This window comes from Homo sapiens, chromosome 1 (assembly GCF_000001405.40).
Source record: "Homo sapiens chromosome 1, GRCh38.p14 Primary Assembly".
In the NCBI taxonomy this organism is placed as follows: Eukaryota; Metazoa; Chordata; class Mammalia; order Primates; family Hominidae; genus Homo; species Homo sapiens.
In genome coordinates this window covers 224,219,367-224,235,996 of record NC_000001.11, presented here as the reverse complement: position 1 = coordinate 224,235,996, position 16,630 = coordinate 224,219,367, and the positions used below count along the sequence as shown (strand labels likewise).

The 16,630-nt window shown below is 44.3% G+C and overlaps 1 protein-coding gene and 1 long non-coding RNA gene across 11 annotated transcripts in view; one reads left to right on the top strand and one right to left on the bottom strand.

Moving 5' to 3' along the window:
• The window catches only part of NVL (nuclear VCP like), a 102,828-nt gene extending 94,176 nt beyond the window's left edge, over positions 1-8,652 (top strand). For 9 of the 10 annotated variants that reach the window (NM_001243146.2, NM_206840.3, XM_017001383.2 and 6 more), the window contains 3 exons: positions 2,708-2,796; positions 4,701-4,771; positions 8,327-8,652. In NM_001243146.2, coding sequence (NP_001230075.1) covers positions 2,708-2,796; positions 4,701-4,771; positions 8,327-8,371 — 205 coding nt within the window. In that variant the 3' untranslated portion in view covers positions 8,372-8,652. Of the gene's footprint in view, positions 1-2,707; positions 2,797-3,024; positions 3,350-4,700; positions 4,772-8,326 lie in introns of those variants that run through there. The other variant, XM_017001380.3, reaches the window with a different exon arrangement.
• On the bottom strand, positions 7,954-16,384 carry LOC101927164 (uncharacterized). Its single transcript, NR_110668.1, has 3 exons — positions 16,095-16,384; positions 12,169-12,583; positions 7,954-8,571 (listed from the first exon to the last, which is right to left on the bottom strand). It is a non-coding gene; the product is annotated as an uncharacterized LOC101927164 (long non-coding RNA).
• Positions 16,385-16,630: the final 246 nt, after the last annotated feature.

Genomic DNA, 16,630 nt, shown 5'->3' with positions numbered 1-16,630 from the left:
TTTAACTAACAGAGACAATGCCCCCTCCGGCTTTTTGTTTTCTTTTTTTTCTTTTTTTTTTTTCCATACAGGGTTTCCCTCTTTCACCCAGGCTGGAGTACAGTGGCATGATCATGGCTCACTGTAGCCTTGACTTCCTGGGCTCAAGCAATCCTCTGACCTCAGCCTCCTGGATAGCTGGGACTACAGGTGCATGCTACCATCCCCAGCTAATTTTTTTAAAAAATTTTTGTAGTTTTAGGGTCTCGCCATATTGCCCAGTCTTGTCATGAACTCCTGAGCTTAAGTAGTCCCTCATGCCTCAGCATCCCAAAGTGCTGGGATTACAGTGAGCCACCACACCCGGCCCTTTTTTTTTCTCTATTATGTCCTTCCAATGTAGCAGTGATTCTCAGTGAAGAGAAACTGATCAGAGTCTCAGGCAGGGGTGGTGAGGGGCAGATGTAAATGCCTCTACCTCCCCTTAAATAGGATGTGCCTCACCCCCTAATTAGGAATCAAATCCATACGAGTCTTTATTTAAATGATGTGGCCAGGCACAGTGGCTCACGCCTGTAATCCCAGCACTTTGGAGGCTGAGGTGGGCAGATCACTTGAGGTCAGAAATTTGAGACCAACCTGGCCAACATGGTGAAACCTTGTCTCTACTAAAACTACAAAAATTAGCCGGGCATGGTAGTGCACACCTGTAATCGCAGCTACTAGGGAGGCTGAGACAGGAAAATTGCTTGAACCCAGCGGGTGGAGGTTGCAGTGAGCTGAGATCGTGTCACTGCACTCCAGGCTGGGCAACAGAGCGACACTCCATCTCAAAAAATAAAAATAAATAAAATTAAAAATAAAGAAATGGCCTTATGCTTAGGAGACTACTACTTGAGTAGTTTACTGCTTTAAGGGTGGGAGCAGTGGCTCACACCTGTAATCCTAGCCCTTTGGGAGGCCAAGGCAGGCAGATTGTTTGAGGCCAGGAGTTCAAGACCAGCTTGGGCAACATAGTAAGACCCCATCTCTACAAAAAAAATAATAATAATACAGCTTTAAGTGCTCAAATCTGAAAAGATTTTCGGTGAGTAACAGGTGATTTTGGTGGCGGAACTTGCCCTGGGCTAAATCTTTTGGATATACCAAGTAGGCTATCAGTCTGTGAAGGGGTTAGGGCTAAAGTTGAATGGTGTACATTTTGGATTTTCATGCCACTATAATTACAGTTTGAGAGACACTACACCACTACAGTCTATAGCTATCTGCTTGTGTTAGTTAATGGTGTTTCCACCAATGTTAGATTTCATAGTATGGGAAGGAATGAATACCCCAGCAGGTATGTGATTATTAAATAATGTTATAACCCTAACATTTAGCCAACAAAACACCAGATTCAGTTAAAAATTTAAGCTCTGTGGGTCTTTACTTTTATATAGTATGTGTCTGAGGCAGGAGAATCACTCATACCCAGGACGCAGAGGTTGCGGTGAGCCAAGATCACACCACTGCACTCCAGCCTCGGTGACAGAGCAAGACTCCATCTCAAAAAAAAAAAAGTTATATAGTATGGGGATTATCAACATTATATAATAAGTTTAATGTCCAGAGATGAGGTTTTTTAAAAAAATTTATTTTTCATTTTCATCTTTTCTTTCCAAGACTTGTGAATCATAGAAGTGATGTTTTTATCCCCAAACTCAAACTCTTTCTCATATAATCTCTAAGAACCCTGTTACAGCTGTAATGTAGTGAAACTCCAGTCAACATGAGTGTCTTTCATTGAACTCAGAACTGTGCTGACTCAGCATATTATTACATGAACTAATTAAATAAGTGAAGGCCTGTTTTGTATTTGTCATATTTTAAGTAACTTATGATGTGTTCATTCAGTTTTAACTTGAATCAGGTGCATTAAAGACTTTCCAGGGTTTGTATTTTTCCCTTCTGAACTTGGAGCCACAAGTGACTTTTTGGGGGGTTTTCTTGAGACAGGGTCTCACTCTGTCACCCAGGCTCACTATAGCCTTTGCCCCCCAGGCTCAAGCAATTCTGCCATCTCAGCCTCCCAAAGTGCTGGAATTACAGGCATGACCCACTGCGCCCAGCCCATAAATGACTTTTTAATAAGCTTACTTTAGACATTATGTAATACATGAATATGCTAGTCAGCACTTTAGCCCTTTATGCATTGTATTGTTTCCTCCATAATTTCCTTTCTTCTTGAGTTTAGTTTTTTTTTGTTTTTGTTTTTTAATTGGGACAGAGTCTCACTCTGTTACCCAGGCTGGAGTGCAGTGGTGCGATCTTGGCTCATTGCAACCGCCACCTCCCGGGCTCAAGTGATCCTCCCACCTAAGCCTCCCCAGTGCCTGGGACTACAGGTGCATGCCACCATGCCCAGCTAATTTTTTTGTAGTTTTGTAGATATGGCATTTCTCCATATTGCTGAGACTAGTCTCAAACTCCTGTTCAAGTGATCCACCCACCTCGGCCTCCCAAAGTGCTGGGATTATAGGCGTGAGCCACTGCACCTGGCCTAGAAATATCTTATATAAAAGCTAAGAGCTCTTTTCTATTGATTGATAATCAATTTATTTCTCATCTTTATTGGTCACTTTTTCTCCTGATTATTTAATATATGACTTATATGAAAACTGTTTTCCGGGTTTTTTTCTGGGATTTTGCAGTATCTAAGAATAAGTAGATAACTATTATTTTATTGTAGGGGCGCAGATCTCTCTGCTTTGGTACGAGAAGCTTCTATCTGTGCCCTGAGACAGGAAATGGCAAGACAGAAGAGTGGAAATGAAAAAGGTACAATTCTCTCCAGAATCTCTCAATTCTAATTATGATACTTAAAACCACTGTTGCCCTGGAAAATGACCATTTTCTAGTGTCTATTATCTATGATATTAAAGCTAACGTTTTTCTAATAAGACTGTTAGAAGCTGTTCTGAAATATTAGGTAACCTCTGTTGCTGACAATTATAATAATAGCAAAGTTATTTAGTACCTCTCTAATAAAGAGTACTGTCCCTATAGGCAAATGGATCCATTCGCTGTCTTCATCATGAGTCTGGGCTGCTTATCAATTCTGGAAAAACGTATTCTTTTGCTAAGGTGATATCTACTTGCCTGTTAAAATGCAGCCTAAATTGGAGAGCTTAGAAAATACACAAGAGAAGTGAAATTTGGAATAACTTTCCATATGTTGAGACTTTCCTTTCAAAATATAAAATCTGTGTATTGTGTTATGTGATGCTTTGGGGCCATCTCAAAAGCTTTGCACCATCCTTCACATTTGACAGTGTCTTTAATGTTATTATTTGAGTGCATATGGGGGAAAAAAATTGTCTGCTGGGTGTGGTGACTCACATCTGTAATCCCAGCACTTTGGGAAGCTGCGGCAGGAGGATTGCTTGAGCCCAGGAGTTTGAGAGCAGCCTGCGCAACAAACCAAGATGCCATCTCTATAAAAAATTTAAAAATTAGACTGGCATGGTGGTGCATGCCTATAGTCCTAACTACTTGGGAGGGTGAGGCCCAGGAGTTCGAGGCTGCAATGAGCTATGATTGCACCACTGCACTCCAGCCTGAGTGACAGAGCAAAACCCTGTCTCTATTTTTATTTTGTTATTTTTATTTTTATTTATTTATTTTTTTTGAGACAGAGTCTCGCTCTCACTCAGGCTGGAGTGCAGTGGCGCGATCTTGGCTCACTGCAAGCTCCGCCTCTCGGGTTCATGCCATTCTCCTGCCTCAGCCTCCCAAGTAGCTAGGATTACAGGCGCCGGCCACCACACCTGACTAATTTTTTTTTTTGTATTTTTAGTAGAGACGGGGTTTCACCATGTTAGCCAGGATGGTCTCGATCTCCTGACTTCGTGATCCGCCTGCCTCGGCCTCCCAAAGTGCTGGGATTACAGGTGTGAGCCACTGCGCCCGGCCTCCCTGTCTGTATTTTTATTTATTTATTTATTTATTTTCTAAACTTGAGTCTTGCTCTGTCGCCCAGGCTGGAGTGCAGTGCCGCGATCTCGGCTCACTGCAACCTCCACCTCCTGGTTCAAGCAATTCTCCTGCCTCAGCTTCCCGAGTAGCTGGGACTACAGGCGTGTGCCACCACACCCACTTAATTTTTTTTGTATTTTTAGTAGAGACGGGATTTCACCATATTGGTCAGGCTGGTCTCGAACTCCTGATCTCATGATCCGCCCACCTCGGCCTCCCAAAGTGCTGGGATTACAAGCCTGAGCCACCGCGCCCGACCTAAAGCTCCCTTCTAAACCAGTGCTGAGATATATTATATATAAAATATTCTATGATATTATGGCTCCATAAGATCTCATTGTGTGTTGCATACTCTTAAATATTAATACTATGGAATCCTACTTTCTATTCCAGTTACATTTATTTGAATTATCTGAATAATTCTGGCTCTTGTTCATAGGCATCACCATTAAGTTAAACAATGCAAAGAGGCCTACAAAAAGTTACCAACTTATGAGTGGCAGATCTCTTTGGGTGGTTTTGGATTAAAATCTGATGAGCAGAATATATCTGGCTAGAATACTGTTCTGAAAAAGAACAGAGCCCATCTCATCACTGATCTCTTTAGTGGACCCCTTGAAAGTTTTGAAGTCTTTCAAAGGAAGTTAAGTTCTAAGTCAGTTACCATACGATACTGAGATGTGTATATTTGTGCATTTACTCCATAGGTGAACTCAAGGTTAGTCATAAGCATTTTGAAGAAGCTTTCAAGAAAGTAAGATCATCTATATCAAAAAAGGTAAGCAATGCCATTAAATGCATAGAGAAAGGAAACTAGAATTTTAGACCAGTAGATATGACCTCATGAATTAAACTCTTTTTTTTTTTTTTTGAGACGGAGTCTTGCTCTGTCGTCCATGCTGGAGTGCAGTGGTGCGATCTCTGCTCACTGCAAGCTCTGCCTCCCGGGTTCACACCATTCTCCTGCCTCAGCCTCCCAAGTAGCTGGGACTACAGGTGCCCGCCACCATCCCCGGCTAATTTTTTGCATTTTTAGTAGAGACGGGGTTTCACCATGTTAGCCAGGATGGTCTCGATCTCCTGACCTCGTGATCCGCCCGTCTCTGCCTCCCAAAGTGCTGGGATTACAGGCGTGAGCCACCGCGCCCGGCTGAATTAAACTCTTTTACAGATTGTTTTGTATACTACTTCTACTTCCTAAAAAGAAATTACATGGTTCATTTTGATCTGAAAACAAGCAAAATAATTGCCTTTGTGAGAATGTTCTTGAGAGATTTTAATTTTATATGTTTCTTAGGGACTAGAACACAGTTTTCCTAACTAGATTCTCTAACAACTTTATTCAGAAAGAGAATGACCTCTTCTGCCTCCACAATCTCAGATTTTTTTTTTATTTTTTTGAGACAGAGTCTCGCTCTGTCACCCAGTCTGGAGTGTAGTGGCATGATCTTGGCTCACTGCAACCTCTGCCTCCTGGGTTCAAGCGATTCTTCTGTCTCAGCCTCCTGAGTAGCTGGGACTATAGGTGCGCACCACCATGCCTGGCTAATTTTTTGTATTTTTAGTAGAGACAGGGTTTCACCATATTGGTGAGGCTGGTCTCAAACTCTTGACCTCGTGATCCACCCGCCTTGGCCTCCCAAAGTGCTGGGATTACAGGCGTGAGCCACTGCGCCCAGCCCACAATCTCAGAATTTTAATCATCTGATTCAAGTATTATTTGACCTACTCTACGCTTTTTGATAAATGGCTTTGTATTTCTTGGAGCTAGACTGTACCCAAACTAAGCCATAGGGACTTACCCATACATTTCAGGGAAATAAAAACATCTTCACCATAGGTGGGAGAAGGGTTAAAAAAAAATCACTCTGGAGCTGGGCACAGGGGCTTATGCCTGTTATCTCAGCTACTCAGGAGGCAGAGGTGGGAGAATGGCTTGAGCCCAGGAGTTCAAGATCAGCCTGGGCAACATGGTGAGACCCTGTCTCTACAAAAAAATTAAAACTTAGCCAGGCATGGTGTCATGCACCTGTAGTCCCAGCTACTTAGGAGACCGAGGCAGAAGGATTACTTGAGCCCAGGAGGTTGAGGCTACACTGAGCCATGATCACACCATTGTACTCCAGCCTCGGTTACAGAACGAAACCTTGTCTCAAAAACAAACAAATAAACACAGAAGAAAAAACACACTTCAAGTATTTCTTTGGGATGAATACACAGGAGTGGAATTGCCACCCAACATTTAAAATGTTAATTTGCCAGACGCGGTGGCTCACTTCTGTAATCCCAGCACTTTGGGAGGCTGAGGCGGGCAGATCACGAAGTCAGGAGTTCAAGACCAGCCTGGCCAATATAGTGAAATCTCATCTCTACTAAAAATACAAAAATTAGCTGGGCGCGCACCTGTAGTCCCAGCTACTGCGCACCTGTAGTCCCAGCTACTCAGGAGGCTGAAGCAGAAGAATCGCTTGAACCTGGGAGGCAGAGGTTGCAGTGAGCCAAGATTGCACCACTGCACTCCAGCCTGGGCGACAGATTGAGACTCCGTCTCAAAAAAAAAAATTTTTTTTTAATTTGACCACAGTGAGATTCTACTACACACCTACCACAATGACTAAAATTTAAAATATTGGCAACACTAAATGGTGGCAAGGATATGAAACAGCTGGAACTCTTTTTATTTATTTATTTATTTATTTATTTTTTTGAGACAGAGTTTCACTCTTGTTGCCCAGGCTGGAATGCAATGGCACAATCGCAGCTCACCACAACCTCTGCCTCCTGAGTTCAAGCTATTCTCCTGCTTCAGCCTCCCGAGTAGCTGGGATTACAGGCATGTGCCACCACACCCGGCTAATTTTTTGTATTTTTAGTAGAGACAGGGTTTCTCCATGTTGGTCAGCCTGGTCTCCAACTCCCAACCTCAGGTGATTGGCCCGCCTCAGCCTCCCAAAGTGCTGGGTTACAGGCCTGAGCCACCACGCCTGGCCTGGAACTCTTATACATTGTTGCTGAAAATGTAGATACAACCACACTGGAAAACATTCTGGCAATTTCTTTTTTTTTTTTTTTTTTTTTTGAGACGGAGTCTCGCTCTGTCGCAATGGCGCGATCTCGGCTCACTGCAAGCTCCGCCTCCCAGGTTCACACCATTCTCCTGCCTCAGCCTCCCGAGTAGCTGGGACTACAGGCGCCCGCCACCATGCCCAGCTAATTTTTTTGTATTTTTGTAGAGACAGGGTTTCACCATGTTAGCCAGGATGGTCTCGATCTCCTGACCTCGTGATCCACCCATCTCAGCCTCCCAAAGTGCTGGGATTACAGGTGTGAGCCACCGCGCCCGGCCCATTCTGGCAGTTTCTTATGAATGTTAATGTAGTGTAAGAAGCTTCTACTTTCCCGGCCTGGCGCAGTGGCTCACACCTGTAATCCCAGCACTTTGAGAGGCCGAGGCGGGTGGATCATGAGGTCAGGAGTTTGAGACCATCCTGGCCAACATGGTGAAACCCCATCTCTACTAAAATGCAAAAAATTTGCCGGGCGTAGTGGTGCGCACCTGTAGTTCCAGCTACTCAGGAGGCCGAGGCAGGGGAATCCCTTGAACCCAGGAGGCAGAGATTGCAGTGAGCCGAGATTGCACCGCTGCATTCCAGCCTGGGCGACAGAGTGAGACTCCGTTTCAAAAAACAAAAAAAGAAGCTTCTGCCTTTGCCTCCTTTCCATCTGGATTCAGTGTAGTTTAGAATTGTGCTTTCTTCACTAATTAGATAGACATAAGACTCTTGACCTGATTTTTTAGGAAAACTTGAGTCAACGATTGTGAATGTCATGGAGTCCCCTGTGGAAAGGAGCATGTGTAGGATTTAGATTAGGATTTAGATGCAGGAAGGTAAAATATCACCTCTCTTCAACAGTAAGTTAGTCAGCAGGAGCTACTATGACAAAGTACCACAGACTGGGTGGCTTAAAAAGTGGAAAATTTATTTTCTCACAGTTCTGGAGAGTGTTGGGCAGGATTGGTTCTTCTGGAGCCTTTGTCCTCACTGATGGCTGTCTTCTCCCAGCGCCTGCATGTGCTTTTCCCTCTGCGCACATGCTCTTCCCTCCTGTGCCCTAATCCCCTCTTTTTGTAAGGAGAGCAGTCATATTGGATAAGAGTCTACCTGTATGACCTCATTTTAATCCAGTCTCCTCTATAAAGACCCTCTCTCCAGTTACAATCACATTCTGAGGTCCTGCGGGTGCGGACTGCAGCATGTGAATTTTGGGGGGCACCATTCAGCCCAAAACAAGCAGTGACGGTCTCTGTATTCTGTGTTCTCCCTCCTTTCAGGATCAAATCATGTATGAACGTTTGCAGGAGTCCCTCAGCCGGTGATGTCTCCAGCAGCCGGCTTAGAGGAGCTAGCCCATCAAGCCGGCAGAGAATCCCCCACACGCTCTGAAGGACCCACTTTCAGCTGGACACAGGCGCGGCCTCATGTAAACATTTTATTTTCAAATGAATGAGGCCAAGCTGAAGCTGAAGCTGAAGATTCTTCCCATCTGGCCAGCCTTGTGTGAAAATGCCTTCTTCCTCTTTAAGAAAAAGGACAATTTTTAAACTGCTGAAATAAAATGACTGTTACATTTTTCAAATAAAACTTTTACTTTGAACTATTTTGACTATACAGAAAAGTTACAGAGATCTCCTCCCCCGCCTTCCACAACCATCTAGGAATAAGTGCCAACCTGATGCCCTATCACTCCCAAATACTGTCATGTGTATTTTCTACACTTGAAGATATTCTCCTACATAACCCACCATCAAAGTCAGGGAATTAATACATTGATACATCACTGCCATCTAATCCTCCTCCATTCACGTTCCTCTAGTTGTCCTGATAATGTCCTTTAAAACAGGTCCCTAACCCCCAGGTTGGAGACAGGTACCTATCTGTCTCCTGTTAGGAACCAGGACGCACAGTGGGAGGTTAGTGGTGGGCGAGCGAGCATTACTGCCTTAGCTCCACCTCCTGTTAGATCAGTGGCAGCATTAGACTTTCATAGAAGCGTGAACCCTGTTGTGAACTGTGCACTTGAGGGACCTAGGTTGTACCCTCCTTATGAGAATCTGATGCCTGATGATCTGAGGTGGAACAGTTTCTTCCTGAAACCACCTCCCCTGACCCTGTCTGTGGAAAAATTATCTTCCACGAAACCAGTGCCTGAGCCTAAAAGGTTGGGGACCACTGCTTTAAAAGGAGGCCACTGCAGTTAGTTGCTACATTCTTTAATCTCTTTTAAGCGTGGAACATTTCTTCAGGTTTGACTTTTGACACTTGTGAAGGTTTCAGGCCAGTTACTTTGTAAAATTCCTTGAGTGTGGATGTGTCTGATGTTTTCCTTGTGATTAGACTCAAGTTATGCATCTTTGGCAGATTACAAAGTGACACTGTGCGCTTGTCATGTGGCATGCGATTTCAGTTTGTCCTGTTACTCATGATGTTCACTGTGATCACTTGAGGTAGTTCTTCCAGGTTTCTCACACTACAAAGTTACTCTTTACTCTTTTTTTTTCACTTTGTAATGTATGTGTATTTTATGGGAAGTTACTTTGAAACTCTATAAAGTCCATTCCTCATCAAAGTCAAGTATTACTATTTTTAATATATTATCCATTATTATCATTATGATATTCAAACTGTCCCAGATTTGACTCTCCTTTGGCCTCTATATGTTTGATGAGTCCCTAGGCAATACTTTGTGAAGGGCTTGATTTTTGTTGTGTTCAACTCATAATTTACAGTGTTGCTCACAATATATCCGGAAGTTATATATAGATGGGTCGGGTTACCTACTTTTCTTTCTTCTTAAATTTTTACTTCACCTCATTCTACAAAAATTTTTAGGCTACTTTTAAGAATGTGGACCAGTCACAGTGGCACATGCCTGTAATCCTAGCATGTTTGGGAGGCCTAAGTGGGAGGATCACTTGAGTTCAGGAGTTCGAGAGCAGCCTGGGCAACATAGTGAGACCCCCCACATCTCTACAAAAAGAAAAAAAAATGTTACAAGGCCAGGCGTGGTGGCTTATGCCTGTAATCCCAGCACTAGGCCAAGGCGGGCAGATCGCCTGAGGTCGGGAGTTCTTGACCAACCTGGCCAACATGGTGAAACCCCGTCTCTACTAAAAATATGAAAATTAGCCGGGCGTGGTGGCAGGCACCTGTAATCCCAGCTACTCAGGAAGCTGAGGCAGGAGAATCGCATGAACCCGGAGGCGGAGGTTGCAGTGAGCCAAGATCGCACCACTGCACTCCAGCCTAGGCAACAGAGTGAGACTCTGTCTCAAAAAAAAAAAAAATTTACAAAAAGAATGTGGTGAAAAAATGTTACTAAAAGCAAATCAGGGTTACAAAGGTCAATAAAACAGTCTTTTTTTTTTTCTTTTTTTGAGACGGAGTCTTGCTGTGTTGCCCAGGCTGGAGTGCAGTGGTGCAATCTCGGCTCACTGCAACCTCCACCTCCCGGGTTCCTGCCATTCTCCTGCCTCAGCCTCCCAAGTAGCTGGGACTACAGGTGCCTGCCACCACGCCCGGCTAATTTTTTGTATTTTTAGTAGAGACGGGGTTTCACCGTGTTAGCCAGGATGGTCTCGATCTCCTGACCTTGTTATCCTTCCACCTTGGCCTCCCAAAGTGCTGGGATTACAGGCGTGAGTCACTGTGCCCAGCCAACACAGTCGTTTTTCTGAGGAGTTCGCAGAAGGATTCAGACATCTCAGCAGAGTATGACCATGCCCAGTGAAAGGGCATGAAGAAGAGGGTACCTTAGGACACCAGAAGAGGGAACACCAAAAAAGAAAAAAAAAGGCAAATCAGGATCACATACTAAAGGTAGGTGATTAAGAATGAAGGGAAGCCGGGTGCGGTGGCTCACGCCTGTAATTCCAACATTTTGGGAAGCCAAGGCGGGCGGATCACGAGGTCAAGAGATCAAGACCATCCTGATCAATATGGTGAAACCCCGTCTCTACTAAAAATACAAAAATTAGCTGGGTGTGGTGGCATGGCCTGTAGTCCCAGCTACTCGGGAGGCTGAGGCAAGAGAATTGCTTGAACTCAGGAGGCAGAGGTTGCAGTGAGCCGAGATCGTGCCACTGCACTCCAACCTGGTGACAGAGTGAGACTCTGTCTCAAAAAAAAAAAAAAAAGAATGAAGGGAAAATTGGAATATGCACCAGAAGGTCTTAAATTTGAGGAGCAGATTCAACTCTGCTTGACATCCACCCAATCCTGAGAAACACAGTCAGGTATATCATAGATGTGGGTTATGAGAAAAAGCAAAAATCTTCTTGACTATTAAATGTTAGGTCTAAGTATCCAACTTGCTGGTAGTTTAGCTTAACCTCGACATAAAATGTAGAACGCATAAGAGAGCAGACTGGCTGCGTGTTCGTTGGCTTTGCCAGTCAGGTATGGTACATGTTGAACAGCAGGCAGATACTGCGACAGGTAGTGTGACAGTGGATGTTGCCAGCACTTCTGCAAATGGAAGGGAAGATCATATTTTTCAGCATGATCTGTGTACTACACACTGCCAAATGTTATCTTAACGCTCCCAACTCATACTAGGGATCAAATAGAGTTATCCCCATATCATCAAAAAGAACAAGGTTCAGAGCCTGTTCAAGGGGACTCGCGGAACAGTCTGAATTCTGGTCTACAGCGGTCTAACTTTTCTTTCTCTTGTGAAAAAGATCCAGTCCTCTGTTCAGAAACTCCCGGAATTATGTCCTCTGTTCTAGCACTGTCAAAGATTTAGCCATTTCATTAAACACTTTGTACTGAGCATTACTAACATAATGGTGAACAAACTCAGAACTTAATGCCCAGTGTGGTGTGTGTGGCAGAGAGCTTATCGCCCTATAATGTCCATTCTTTTCTTCTACCTTTTAGTAAGAAGGGCTCTTGCTGCCAGGAAAGTGACTAACAAACATCTGGCTAGTATAATATAAACAGAAGCGATGGGAACAGCTTCTGGTTACATCCTTATAAGGAAGTGACTTGGGTTGCATTAACCCATCATTAACTCAGGGCAGCCTACATTGAACTCAACACACCTTCTCCCAGAAGCAAAGACCCTGGCTATGTCCTTGAAAAGTCATAACTTGTTTAAAAAAGAAGGTGCTACCTGTCATTTTAACTCCATGCTGCCCTTCCCGGGACTAGAGAGTGATGAGCTGATGATGAACCTGTTTTGGCCTTGTAAATGGAGACAACATCCTAGGGAATGACAAAGTAATAAAACACAAGAAACCAGGATCGTGGGCAACCCTTGCAGCAGAGTTTCCTCAACCCTCAGATGGTCATTTGCCTCACTTGTGTGTGTGATCTTTATATTGCTTAAGCTATTTATATTTTGGTCTGTGTGAAAGGAGCCAAATTCATATCCAACTTAATACAGATAAAGAGACAGTCACAAAACAGTGTGAGAAGGGCTGAAAAGGGATAAGAATAGTCACCAAGCGAAGAGCACAGGGTAGGAGCAGCTAGTCCATAATTGGAATTGGAAGGTTCTCCCAAGAATGCAATGTGTCAGCGGAATCCTGAAGGCAAAGAAGATGAAGGAAGGAGGTAAATGACCTGAGCAGAGAACAAAGGCCTGGATAAGGGAGGGGCTGGTGTCAGTGGGAAGAAGCAGGTGGTCTCTCATGTTTGTATGTAGGTTATTGCTGAAAACATGTCCAAGTAGTATTTACTGGAAGATCTTATTTCCAAAAGGTAAAAATGTTGTAAAATGCCTTATTACCCTAAAAAGTATAAGTAGATATAACTTAGGTAAAAGTATAGTATTCTATACTTTGTATCTGTCACTATTCTAGATCTCACTGTTTGAACTCAGGAACTGAACAGATTTGGATACATTTTTTGGACAAATCCCTCACTATTTGAAATTGCACTACTCACCTTCCAAAGCTGAGAAGCCAAATAGATTTGGGTGAGATGGTATTGCTCATGATTCAGACTCTAACCTTATCACTTTTGCTTTGGATTATGAGACTTACGCTTATCACTATTATCAGCATTTGTTTTTCTTTTTCTTTCTTTTTTTTTGGTGACGGAGTCTCCCTCTGTTGCCCAGGCTGGAGTGTAGTGGCATGATCTCGGCACACTGCAACCTCTGCCTCCCAGGTTCAAGGGATTCTCCTGCCTCAGCCTCCCGAGTAGCTAGGATTGCAGCCGCGTGCCACCACACCCGGCTGATTTTTGTATTTTTAGTAGAGACGAGGTTTCACCATGTTGACCAGGCAGATCTTGAACTCCTGGACTTAAGTGATCCACCCACCTCAGCCTCTCAAAGTGCTGGGATTACAGGCGTGAGCACCTGTGCCTGGCCAAGGGCAAGGATTCTGTCAGTCAGTGTCTCTGTAGCACCCAGCCCGGATTCTGGCATGCAGGAAGCATTGAATAAAGTGAAGTGAATGAACTGTTCTTCAACAACATGTTTGTCCAAATTAGACTGCTGGGGCACAGCTCCTCCAGGTGAGAATTTTTAATGTTTGCTCACCAGGTAATAGAAGTTTGACTTTGTCATATGAACCAGACACAGTGGCTCATGCCTGTAATCCCAATGCTTTGGGAGGCCGAGGCAGGCAAATCACCTGAGGTCAGGAGTTTGAGACTAGCCTGGTCAACATGAATCCCCATACCTACTACAAATACAAAAATTAGCCAAGCATGGTGGTGTGTGCCTGTAATCCCAGCTACTCAGGAGGCTGAGGCAGAAGGATTGCTTGAACCCAGGAGGCAGAGGTTGCTGTGAGCTGAGATCATGCCATTGCACTCTAGCCTGGGCAACAATAGCGAAACTCTGTCTCAAAAATAAAAAGAAGTTTGATTTTGTCATATGAAAAATGATAAAGACCTGGGTGCAGTGGCTCATGCCTGTAATCCCAACACTTTGGGAGCCAAGGCAGGTGGATCACGTGAGCTCAGGAATTCCAGACTAGCCTGGGCAACATGGTGAAAAAACCCCGTTTCTACAAAAAATGCAAAAATTAGCTGGGTGTGGTTGTGACTGCCTGTAGTCCCAGCTACTTGGGAGGCTGAGGTGGGAGGATCACTTGAGCACAGAAGGTTGAGGCTGCAGTGAGCCATGTTTGTGCCACTGCACTCCAGCCTGGGTGACAAAGCAAGACCCAAAAAAATAAAAACGATAAAGAGACATGTCGGCCGGGCGCGGTGGCTGGCCAGGTGCAGTGGCTCACACCTGAAATCCCAGCACTTTGGGAGGCTGATGTGGGCGGATCACAAGGTCAGGAGTTTGAGACCAGCCTGACCAACATGGTGAAACCTCGTCTCTACTAAAAGTACAAAAATTAGCCGGGTGTGGTGTTGCGCATCTGTAATCCCAGCTACTCGGGAGGCTGAGGCAGGAGAATCACTTGAACTTGGGAGGTGGAAGTTGCAGTGAGCCGAGATGGTGCCACTGCACTCCAGCCTGGGCAACACAGCGAGACTCCGTCTCAAAAAAAAAAAAAAGAGAGAGACATGTGAATAGCTCAACGTTCCACTCCTACACACATATAAATGAATATGCATACATATGTTCACCAAAATAGCAGCATAATTCATAATAGATCAAAACTAGAAACAAACCAAATGTTCATCAGCAGAACAGATAAATGTGGTGTTTTCTCACACTAGAACGTAGTACGACCCAGCAATGACAAACTGGCTACGACAACATGGGTGACTCTCATAGATGTTGATTGAAAGAAGCCAGTTCTTGTGTGATTCTACTGATTAATATATATAAAGTTCAAAGACAAAGCCAATTGATTCCATTAGTAGGCTGCTACTTAGGGGGGGTGGTGGCTGGCAGGGAGCATGCATTAGGGCTGCCCCTGGTGTGCCAACCATGCCCTCCTTGATCCGGGTGATGCTTACATGGTCATGTTTCCTTTGTGAAGATCCATCATGCTATATGCCTATCTGGGCTCTTTTCTGCAAGTATGTTTACTTATGTTAAAAAGTTAACAAAGTTAGCCAGGCTCGGTGGCACATGCCTGTAATCCCAGCACTTTGGGAGGCTGAGGAAGGAGGATTGCTTGAGCTCAGGAGTTGGAGACCAACCTGGGCAACATGGCAAGACCCTGTCTCTACTAAAAATACAAAAATCAGCCAGGAGTGGTGACATGTGCCTGTAACCCCAGCTACTAGGGAGACTGAGGCAGGAGAATGGCTTGAACCTGGGAGGCAGAGGTTGCCATGAGCCAAGATCATGCCACTGCACTCCACCCTGGGCAACAGAGCAAAACTCTGTCTCAAAAAAAAAAAAAAAAAAAGTTAACAAACTTAAGGTAAAAATTTGTATATACAGCCAGGCACGGTGGCTCATGCCTGTAATCCCAGCACTTTGGGAGGCTGAGGCGGGCAGATCACGAGGTCAGGAGATTGAGACCATCCTGGCTAACATGGTGAAACCCCGTCTCCACTAAAAATACAAAAATTAGCCAGGCGTGGTGTCGGGCACCTGTAGTCCCAACTACTTGGGAGGCCAAGGCAGGAGAATGGCGTGAACCCGGGAGGCGGAGGTTGCAGTGAGCCGAGATCGCACCACTTCACTCCAGCCTGGGCGACAGAGTGAGACTCTGTCCGCCTTAGGAAAAAAAAAAAAACTGTATATCATGATTCTTCATCTGATTCTGAAGAAGTGCTATAAATACATATTATGAAAATAAAAAACAATAGGGATATCAATGTTGAATATGTGGGTTGCTTAAAAGTAAAGAACCACATATACTTTAGTATGCCTGGTGGATAAGTTAGCCGCCCTTTCCTCCCTCTTTTTACCCTAAAACACCAGATACTTTGCTCATGCTGTTCTGTCTGTTTACGGTGAGAAACTGAGGTTGGAAAAAGCAGTAGCTGAATTAATTGATTCACCCTCCACAAATGCCATTCTCTCTTTCTGGAAGAACTCCATTTGTGCACATAAGCTTCAAATATGTATGCAGCCAGCAAGGTTATCTGGACGAATGCCGCCTTCTGGGATTTTCCTTAGAAAGCATGTTGACACTGTGCAATCTGGCCCCACTACCAAGTAAGCCTTACCCTTGAGCGGAGGAGAGAGAGACTCAGCAAAGGTGTTCCAAAGAACGCTTTCCTAGAGGTGGAAGTAAAAAGTCCACATTATGTCACAGCCATTCTGTCTTCCAAGACCGAAGTCTCAAGATGGGAAAACTCCAGGGAAATTCCTGAGCTGCCCTTCCACCTCTATCCTCATTGCTGCTCTTCCTGCCTTGTTCCTCATCACCCAAGCGAGAAATCTGACATCAGCTTCAGTTCTTCTGGTTCAGTCATTTATGATTTAGAAACGTTTCTGAAATCCATCCCCTTTGTTCTCATAGACACTGACCTAATTTCAGGCTCTCATCACCTTTCATAACTATTACTTTAGCTTCCTAGTTAATCTCCTGTTCAAATCTCTTGTACACTGAAACCAGAGTTGCTTTCCAAAATGCAAATTAATCCAGCCTAGCCAACATGGCGAAATCCCATCTACTAAAAATACAAAAAATTAGCTGGGCATGTCGGTGCACGCCTGAATCCCAGCTATTTGGGAGGCTGAGGCACAAGAATCACTCGAA